Source organism: Homo sapiens, chromosome 11 (genome assembly GCF_000001405.40).
Source record: "Homo sapiens chromosome 11, GRCh38.p14 Primary Assembly".
Classification (NCBI taxonomy): Eukaryota; Metazoa; Chordata; class Mammalia; order Primates; family Hominidae; genus Homo; species Homo sapiens.
The window spans coordinates 46,169,630-46,180,453 of NC_000011.10; the positions used below are offsets into that span (position 1 = coordinate 46,169,630).

At 42.5% G+C, this 10,824-nt stretch overlaps 1 long non-coding RNA gene across 1 annotated transcript; it reads left to right on the top strand.

Annotated features, from left to right (window-relative positions):
- The first annotated feature begins 2,325 nt into the window (after window positions 1-2,325).
- Window positions 2,326-7,477, top strand: LOC101928894 (uncharacterized). The gene is made up of 3 exons (NR_120565.1): window positions 2,326-2,395; window positions 4,956-5,061; window positions 6,720-7,477. It is a non-coding gene; the product is annotated as an uncharacterized LOC101928894 (long non-coding RNA).
- The last annotated feature ends 3,347 nt before the right edge of the window (window positions 7,478-10,824 follow it).

A 10,824-nucleotide genomic window follows, 5' to 3' on the forward strand; every position in this document is an offset into this window, starting at 1 on the left:
GGAAGGAAGGAAGGAAGGAAGGAAGGAAGAAAGAAAGAAAGAAAGAAAGAAAGAAAGAAAGAAAGAAAGAAAAGGAGAGGAGAGGAGAGGGAAGGGAAAGAAAGAAATGATGTCAATTCTCTTCAAATTGATCTACAGAGTCAACTGAACTCTAGTTAATATCTCAAGAGGGTTTTCAAGGAACTTGGCAAGCAGCTAATTCTAAAATATATATGGAAGGATGGAGTCCTAAGAGTAACCAAGTCTTCATGTATAAAAACATAATATAAAGTCATAGTAAGTAATAGAGTGTGGTATAGCTATAGGGACAAACACATTGACAAATGGAATTGAACAGAATCCCCCAAAGCAGATCTGCACATATATAAAAACCTGATTTATGACAAAGATGGCATCACAGACCACAGGAAAAGAATAGATTATCTAGTAAGTGGTACCCACAATTTGTTATTCACATGGGGGGAAAGATAGATCCCTATATCATACCGTCTCCAAAAGTAAATTCTGTATAAATTAAAAGCAAAATGTACAAGTCAAAACTCTAAAACTTTCAGAGAAAATATGGAATTCCTTTATGATGTTGGACAGGTAAAGATTTTCTATACAAGGTACAAAATGTACTAGCCATAAAATAAAAGACTGATACAGTATATTAAAAATAAGAACTTCTTTCAAAATACATCTTCAAGAAAGTGAGAAGGCAAGCCACAAAGTGGGAGAAGGTATCTGTAATGCATGTAACTGACAAATAAATATATAATCAACCCTTCCTATAGCCATCTATCTGCACATGTCTTCATCTCTTTCAGGATCTTTGCTCAAATGTCATATTTTTCAAAAAACCTTTCCTGACCACTGTTCAAAAATTGCAAAGCTCACCACCACTCCCTGCACCACTCCCTGCCTATTGCCTTTCCTGCCTTTTTTTTTTTTTTTTTAGACAGAGTCTTGCTCTGTTGCCCAGGCTGGAGTGCAGTGGCACAGTCTCGGCTCACTGCAATCTCAGTTTCCTGGGTTCAAGCAGTCCTCCTGCCTCAGCCTCCCGAGTGGCTAGGACTGCAGGCATGTGCCACTATGCCTGGCTAACTCTTGTATTTTTAGTAGAGATGGAGTTTCACCATATTGGTCAGTGTGGTCTTGAACTCTTGACCTCAAGTGATCCGCCCTCCTCAGCCTCCCAAAGTGTTGGGATCACAGGCATGAGCCACCATGCCCAGCTCCTGCCTTATTTTTAACCTCAACATTTATCATTGCCATACATACTACCTATTTAACTAAATGATTTGATTGCCTGCCTCCTGCTGTCCCCAATAGACTATAAACTTTGAAATGAGACCAGGAATTTTGGTGTATTTTGCTCACTGCATACATAATACACAAGAGTGCTTGGCACATAGCAGGTGCTCAGTAAATATTTGTTGATTAAACAAACTCTTACAAATCAATAATAAAATACCAACAGCCCAGTAGAAAAATGAGCAAAAGATTTAAACAGGCATTTCACAAAATAAAAAACACAACTAGTCAATAAACATATAAAAAGATGCTCAAGTTTATTAATAATCAGGGAAATGCAAATAAGACCAAAACTAGATACTATTTTACACCCACCAGATTGGCAAACATTAAGAATTCTGACAGTTCTAAGTATTGGCAAGGATGAGGAGCAAAGAAAATTCTTAATACACCTGCTATTGGGAGTATAAAATTGCAGAGCCTCTTTGGAAAACAATTTGGGATTATCTTGTAAAGGTAAACATGTGCCTAGCCTATACACCAGTTGATCTGTTCTTAGATGTACAGCCTGAAGCAACGCTACTCAAAGTATGGTCCTGGTGCTGATATGTGAAGAATCTGATAGAAATACAGAAAGAGTAAGCATGTAAAAAAGTTCATAGCAACTTGATACTGACACACTATATTTATTTGTTTAGACATTTAAAACATCATAGTGAAATATCCATAACATAAAATTGACCATTTTAACCATTTTAAGCATACAATTTGGTGACATTAAGTACATTCACATTGTCACGCAACCATCGCCACCATGCATCTCTAGAACTTTATCTTCCCAAACTGAAATTACATACTGATATGGTTTGGCTGTGTCCCCACCCAAATCTCATCTTGAACTATAGTTCTCATAATCCCCACATGTTGTGGGAGGGACCCAGTGGGAGGTAATTGAATCATGGGGGCAGTTACTTCCATGCTGTGCTCGTGATAGTGAGTGAGTTCTCACGAGATCTGCTGGTTTTATAAAGGGCTTTCCCCTCCCACCACCGCTTGGCTCAGAACTTCTCCTTGCTGCTTCCGTGTAAAGAAGGATGTGTTTGCTTCTCCTTCCACCATGATTGTAAGTTTCCTGAGGCCTCCCCAGCCATGCTCAACTGTGAGTCAATTAATCTTCTTTCCTTTATAAATTACGCAGTCTCGGGTATGTCTTTATTAGTAGCGTGAGAACAGACTGATACATGTACCAACAACTTCCCCTTCTCCCAGCCCCTATCAGCCACCATTCTACTTTCTGTCTCTATGATCTTGACTACTCTAAGTGCTCATATAAGTGGAATCATGTAGCTTTGTCCCTTTGTGACTGGTTGATTTCATTTGGCCTCATGTCCTCAAGGTTCATCCATGTTGTAGCATGTGTCAGAATTTACTTCCTTTCAAAGGGTGAGTAATATTCTATTGTATGTTTCTACCACATTTTGTTTATCCATTCATCCATCAATGGACCCTCGGGTTGCTTCCATATTTTGTCTTTTGTGAAAAACTGCCACACTATATTCATTGGATTATAATTTATGTCTGTTGAATATAATAATTAAAAATTCAGGTTTATATTTTGTATGTCTTTGAATTCTTAAAATTTCATTTTCCAAGTAGTTAATTTTTGTTGTATTTTACAAAAGTATCAGTCTGTGACAGATTGGAAAAAATTTTAAAACTCACATAGATAGTTTAAGAAGCACCACCCTAGAGCAAGTGCTTTCAAACTTTTCTATGAACTATAGTAAGAAAATCTCATTAGCCGGGCGTGGTGGTGTGCACCTGTAATCCCAGCTACTCGGGAGGCTGAGGCAGGAGAATTGCTTGCACCTGGGAGGCAGAGGTTGCAGTGAGCCAAGATCGTGCCATTGCACTCCAGTTCTGGGCAACACAGCAAGACTCCGTCTCGGAAAAAAAAAAAAAAAGAAAGAAAGAAAATTAAAAAAAAAAAAAGAAAATCCCTTCACATCATAACCCAGGATACACAAACGTAACTGAAACAAAAGTTTCATGGAGATACTTAGAAAGGAACTCGGTTTATACATGAAAGGAACTCAGTTTCTGCTCTGTTTCTGTCTTTCTTTTTTTTAAGCACTGATTGAATCTATCAAATTGATTTTATGACCCACTAAAGGCCATGAATCCCAATTGGAAAACCAGTGCTCTTGAGAAAAATCTTACACATATGTTTCAGGAGCCATGTACAAGGATGTTCCCAGTAGCATTACTGACAAAGGCAAACACACACACACACACACACACACACACACACACACACACAAACAACATAAACATTCATTGATAGGAGACTATATAAAGAAATTGTGATATATGTACTTAATAGAATATTACAGGGACCCAATCAATGTTTATTGAATGAATTAATCAACAGCTGTGAAAATGAAGTACAGCTACACTCGGCAATTTGGAAGAATCTTAGAGATACAATGTGAAATGCAAAAAGCAAGTCACAGCTACTCTACACTGAAGGAAACCATTTTTATAAATCTAAAAAAGTAAGCCAAACTAAACAATCTATTGTTTAGGGTCCCATATGTGTGATGAAACTATCCTAAAAAGCAAGGAAATGATAAACACAAAATCCAGGACAGCAGTTACTTCTGGGAGGTAGGCAGGGGGCGGGATTAGGGAGGAGTTCACAGGTAGCCAACAGAATTGGAAATGTTATTAAGTTGGGCAGTTTATAAATGTTCATTTTATGATGTATGCTTTGTACTTTGTACTTAGATATATGTTGTATATACTCGTTTCTCTATCAAGCACTTCTTAAGGATAGAAATGTACTTGATGAAATTGGAGGACAGAGAATTCTACGCACATTGAGCAAACCACCTAACTCTTTCATGGATATATCAAAATGTCAATAAAATACGCCCCCACCCCCGGGCTTCTTCCAAGACTGTGAGAAAATAGCTGATAAGCATTTGAGGGTCCGGTTGAGAAGTGTATCAAGACAAGGTTTCACATTTCCCCTTACGGCATAACTGCCCCACTCTCCTCCTTATACCAGTACCATCAACTCCACCCCACCCCCGGCTGCTTCCAACAGCCATAGAATGTTCCCCTGCCTCCCTATTGCCAATTGCTTTTAGAATTCTGGGTGGGGGACCTGGGGTGACCAGAGTCCCTCAGACTACAAACCCCTCAAGCACAGGGGCCAAGCCTTATCCTTCTCTGTATTTATTTTTCTTTCTTTTTTTTTTTTTTTTTGAGACAGAATTTCGCTCTTGTTGCCCAGGCTGGCGTGCAATGGTGTGCTCTCAGCTCACTGCAACCTCCACCTCCCGGGTTCAAGCGATTCTCCTGCCTTGGCCTCCCGATTAGCTGGGATTACAAGCACCCTCCACCATGCTCAGCTAATTTGTTGTATTTTTAGTAAAGATGGGGTTTCACCATGTTGGCCAGGCTGGTCTTGAACTCCTGACCTCAGGTGATCCACCTGCCTTGGCCTCCCAAAGTGCTGGGATTACAGGCATGAGCCATGCACCCGGCCTCTTCTCTGTATTTCTAATCTTCAGCCCAGTGACCACACAGGGAAGGTGTTCTATAGTTGTTTTCCATATGAACAAAGGAAGCACTTAAGGAAAGAGTAAGTGACTAACCCCCTAATACTAAGATGCTCCACCGTTTGTCATTGTGGATGTATGGGATTATTTCAGGCTGTTCTGATCATGATCAAGCCCAAGACAGAGCGATGGGCGTGGCTTCCCCAAAGGTGTTTATGAATCCAAAATCTGAGAGAGAGAAGACAAGATGAAGTCACAGGTAAAAATGTGGAAGCAATAGGCTCAAAAATAAAAATTAGAAATCTTGGCAATATTTAAAGTTCAACTGGACTTACCAGTAAGTTGGCGATTATTATCTTTTTATCCCCACTTTTTATTTTCTTTTTTTGAGACAGGGTCTCACTCTGTCACCCAAGTTGGAGTGCAGTGGCGCGATCACGGCTCACTGTAGCCTCCACCTCCCAGAGTCAAATGATCCTCCCACCCTGGCCTTCCAAGTAGCTGGGACCACAGGCACAGGCCCCATGCCAAGCTCATTTTTTTTATTTTTAAATTTTTGTAGAGATGGGATCTCACTATGTGGCCTAGGCTGGTCTCGAACTTCTGGGCCCAAGTGACCCTCCCACCTGGTCCTCCCAAATTGCTGAGATTACCAGTCTTGAGCCACTGTGCTTGGCTTCCACTTTCATTTTTATCATAGTGCATCACAGGGCATCCTGAGCACAGCAGGGTGGTTAGTGGTGTGAAATATGGAGACAGCGCCTGGGTTTGAATCCTGGTTCTTCCACTTACTAGATGTTATGGAATGAATGTGTGCATTCCCCCAAAATTCCTATGCTGAAATCCTAACCCTCAATATGATGGTGTTAAGAGGTGGAGACTGTGGGCGATAATTAGGTCAGGAGGGTGGAACCCTCGTGATTGGATTGGTAACCTTAACCCAGAGAGCTCCCTTGCTGGTTTTCCACCACGCAGGGATACAAGAAGAAGTGGGCAGTCTGCAGCCCAAAAGAGGCTCCCACCAGCCCCTGCCCATGCCGGCAGCCTGATCTCAGATTTCCAGCCCCCGGAACTGGGAGAAATTAATGTCTGTTTATATGCCATCCACCTTATGGTATTTTGTTATAACAGTTTAAGCTGACCAAAATACTGGGTAACCTTGGGCAAATTACTTAACCTCTCTGAACCTCAGTTTTCCCATAACACCTACGTAACAGAATTGCAGTGACAATAAATGATTGAGTTGATCTTCACATAGAGAACAGTGCCTGGCACACAGCATTACCATATCAGTGTTTTTAAATAAAATCCTTACCTAGATTGACAAATAGTCACCCATGTACCCACGTGCCCTCCTGTACTCATGTATTAGTTGTCACGTGGGTGCTTACACTTCCACTGGGGGAAAGCAATTTCTGCTCTCCTTTCCATAGTAAGCCCTTGAATGCTTTCATCTCAATGAAGCTTTGCTGTAGGGTCCTTTATGGGGCACACTTGAGGTCCTGTTGTCCATGTTGGTATCTCCTAAGATGATCACCTTTAACGTGCTTGGATTGCTGACATTGTTGCCTCAGCATGCCTAGCCTAGCATTCTCTTTGCTCTTCTCACTGTCTCTGCTTCCTCCCGGCTCTCAGACTGTTGCTGCAGCCTCCTAACAGACTTCCCTGCCTCCAGTCTCTGCCACCAGTTCATCCACAGCCCCGGGACACATTAAAATCTTCCTTCAGCAACGCTGTGAACATCATTCTCACCCACCCCCTTCTACTCAGAACCCTCCACTCCCCTCATCACTGTGCATAAAGTAGTGTTCAAATTCCTTAGCTTGACTATTCAGACCCCCATAGTTGACCTTAGCCTCATGATCTCACTTTACTTCCCTCAACTTGACTTTCAAATTTTTTTTTTTTTTTTTGCAGTCTAGTCATTGCCTCAACACCAGTCATTCCTACTCCCACCCAGACAACATCATCTCCACTCCCAAGCCCGAAATGCTCCCTGCCATGCCTTCGAGGCTGAGGTCTGGGAAGAAAACTCTAAGAAGAGAGAAAAGGGCACCAGTATGGAGACCCTAGAATATAAAAAGCAGACTTAGCCTGTCTAACCTGTTCCTTGACTTGGCCATGATCCCAGGAATGGAGGAAGGATCTTCCTTTTCTTCCTCCTCCTGGAGAGGCATCAGAGCATGGGCCCTGGCTCTGTTACTCCCTGGCTGGGGAAGTTACTTACCTACTCCGTGTCTCAGTTTTACTTATCTCTAAAAGGGGTAGAGTAACAGCACTCACTGGAGTGGAGTGTGGTTATGCCTCCCAGCCTCTCCTTCAGAACTAGGTTACTTATTCCCTCAGCTGCAAGGAGTGTTAGCTGCGGACTGCTCACAACGGAGTCTCTTCTAGGGATTGCCCTCAACCGAAGGAAGCTGCATTGCCCAAGATGAGATCCCCTCGCTGGGGCATCCTGCATCCAATGACAAGTCAGTGGGGCGTACGAAGGCCTGGCTTCCTCATCTCGATTGGACATCTCCAAAGGGCCATCCCAGTTTCTGATCTCCCCGTAGAATCTCCTGAAGCCTCTGTTGTGACTGCATCAGAGCCCAACCTCTCTCTCTACCCAATCCAGTCTCCTTTCCTTCTCACAGGTGTTGTTCCCAAAACTCAGTAAACTGCCTACACGCAAATCTCTGCTTCTGAGTCTGTTTCCCAGGAAACCTGACCTACAACAGCAGTTAGTTGGCCTAAGACAGCAGTCTCAGAAATGGGATTTGGGAGCTGTGCTGCTCACCGGCTGACTGGTTCTGAGGACCCCATTACGAACAGTAGGTGGAACAGTGGCAGCCCCCAGCATGCGGTTAGGGTGCAATTGCTAACACTTTCGCTGGTGATGAGCTGGCATGGGATACAGGTAGATATTAATGTACTAGGGGCTGCAGCACATCAAGCATTTGAGAGGTTCTGGATAAATAGCATTTGTAAAGACTGTAGAATGAGATGGCCGTTGCTGGGGGTGGTGGGTGCATAGTTTCATTGCAGAAAGACAATGAAAGGCCCAGAATGATTAATTACCAATATAAGGCAAAGTGTAAGCGCTTGAGGATATCTTTGGTAGTGTATAAAGAGACTGATCTCCTGTACTGGAGGGCAGAGAAAACTAAGGATCAAGCCCAGAACTTAAATTATAAAAGCGATGAGACTCCAAAGAAGAGTGAATTCTCAAGTGCAGCAGATCTGCTATACCAAGGTCAGGGACCTGATCGGGAAGAATGGGACCCTGAGACCCTCATGAGGATGTAGTCGAGGTATTGGTTGAAAGCATATGCTTTTAAGCTCATGCTCATGGCTGTTGCAGGCCTTAAATCTGCTTCCAAGCTCATTCCTGCAGTTGCTGATAGACCTTGGTAAATCACCATGTGTTCTGTGTGTCCTCGCAACATAGCAGGTAGTGATGAGAGACAGACAGAGAGAGAGATCCAAGATGAGAGCCATAGTCTTTTTGTACCCTAATCTTGGAAGCGCCATTCCATCACATCTGCCATTTTCTATTCATTAAAAAGGAGCCACCAAGTCTAGTCCACACTCAAAGGGAGAAGAATACCCAGGGAGTGAATGTCAGGAAGCAGGGATCATTGGGGATCGTCTTAGAGGCTGCCTACCACAACCTCATAGACCTTTCCAGGTTCTGGAAAAAGCATGTAGCACACTTGAGAATATTATTCCAACCCATTTACTTAGTGACAAGGAAAGTTGTCACTAAGAGGGCCCAGGGCAAGAAAGGGCTCCACAGCGGGCATAAGCTGTGGTGCAAGTGGCTCTGTGGCATCTATGGTGGGAAAAGACTTGGGTCATCTACTTTGTGGGCAAAGAAAAGTGGCCTGAGGTAAGAATATATACAGAATCATGGGCAGGAGTTATTGGCTTGATTTGTTGGTCAAGGGTCTGGAGAGAGAAAGATTGGAAAATTAGGGACAAGGTGATCTGGGAAAGAGATAGGTGGATGAATCTATGGGACTGTGCACAGGTGTGAAGATCTTTACACATGAGATCTCTGCCATAACTGCGGAACAGTTCAGCTCCCTCTGCCTAATCTGGTGTCCTTTGCCCTCCACAGATTTTGTTCCTGAGAGCATCCCCACTTCCTGCATGCAAATCTCTTCCTAAATATCTGTTTTCCATAGAACCTAACACTTCCCACACAGAGTCATTATAAGAATTAAATGAATGAGTATCTGGAAAAGGTTTGGAAGAGTGCCCGGCACACAGTAAGCACTGTGTAAGTGTTTACTGTTATTACCCTTTCCAATACTCTGTAGTGCCCTGCTCTCATTCCTCAAACCTAGATTAGTTCTCTTACAGCCAAACATCAGTATTCCACTATGTAGTCCATGTCACGCTGGTGATAACTGAAGAGATTTTAGGTATTTTAAGAAGTATGCTGACATGTTTTGGCCAGGCGCAGTGGCTCACGCCTGTAATCCCAGCACTTTAGGAGGCCTAGGCGGGCGGATTCACCTGAGGTTGGGAGTTCAAGACCAGCCTGACCAACAGGGAGAAACCCCGTCTCTACTGAAAATACAAAATTAGCCAGGCATGGTAGCACACACCTGTAGTCCCAGCTGCTTGGGAGGCTGAGGCAGGAGAATCACTTGAACCCGGGAGGCGGAGGTTGCGGTGAGCTGAGGTTGTGTCATTGCACTTCAGCCTGGGCAACGAGTGAAACTCCGTCTCAAAAAAAAAAAAAAAAGTATGCTAACTTTTTAAATTGTTTTAATTTCTTTAAGTAAAAAAATAATTTTAGATTCGGGAGGGTTGCAAGGAAATATGCAAGGAAGTCCTATGCACCCTACTCCCAATCTCCTCCAATGTTAACATCTTACAACAGTTGTACTATATCAAAACTAAGAAGCTGGTACTGGTACAATCCATAGAACTTATTTGGATTTGGCCAGGTGTGGTGGCTCATGCCTGTAATCCCAGCACTTTGGGAGGCCTAGGTGGGCAGATCATCTGAGGTCAGAAGTTCAAGACCAGCCTGGTCAACATGGTGAAACCGCGTCTCTACTAAAAATACAAAAATTAGCTGGGCATGGTGGCGCACACCTTTAGTCCCAGCTACTCAGGAGGCTGAGGCAGGAAAATCGCTTGAACCTGGGAGGCAGGGGTTGTGGTGAGCTGAGATTGCACCACTCCACTCCAGCCTGGGCAACAGAGAAAGACTCTGTCTCAAAAAAAAAAAAAAAAACTCACTTGGATTTCATCAGTTTTACATGCACTCATTTGTGTGTGTATGTGTAGTTGTAGGTGATTTTTATCAATATGTGCAGCCTTTCACAACTACCACCCAAATTGAGATACTCAGCTATGCCATAACCTCAACACTCCCTTGGTTACCCTTCTATAATCACACCCTTCCTCTCCCCCTCATCCCTAAACTCTGCTCTCCTTTTCTAAAGTTTTACCCTTTTAAAAATACATCAATGGAATCATATAGTCTGTAACCTTTTGAGACTGGCTTTTTTTCACTGAGCATAATTTCCTTCAGGTTCTTCTACATTGTTGCATGTATTAATAGTTCATTCCTTTTTATTGCTGAGTAGTATTCCAAGGTATGGATGTACCACAGTTAGCCATTCACATATTGAAGGACATTTGGGTTAATTTCCAGTTTTCTGGTTATTCTGAATGCTGCTATGCATATTCATGTACAAGTTCCTACAAGAAAACATCTTCTTTTTTCTGAAATAAATGTCCAAAAGTGTAATTGCTGTGTTGTATGGTAAGTCCATTTTTAGTTTTGAAAAGAAACTGCCAAACTATTTTCCCAAATGGCGCTATCATTTTACATTCCCACCAGCAACGTATGAGAGATCCAGTTTCTCTACATCCTTACCAGGATTTAATATTATCACTATTTTCCATTTTAGCTGAACTTACTCATATGGCTAGCTTATATTTATGGCAAATAATACTGGTTTTGCTTTTATAGCAGTGATATAACACTTTATTTTAAAACAAAATTCTTTAAGTGTTA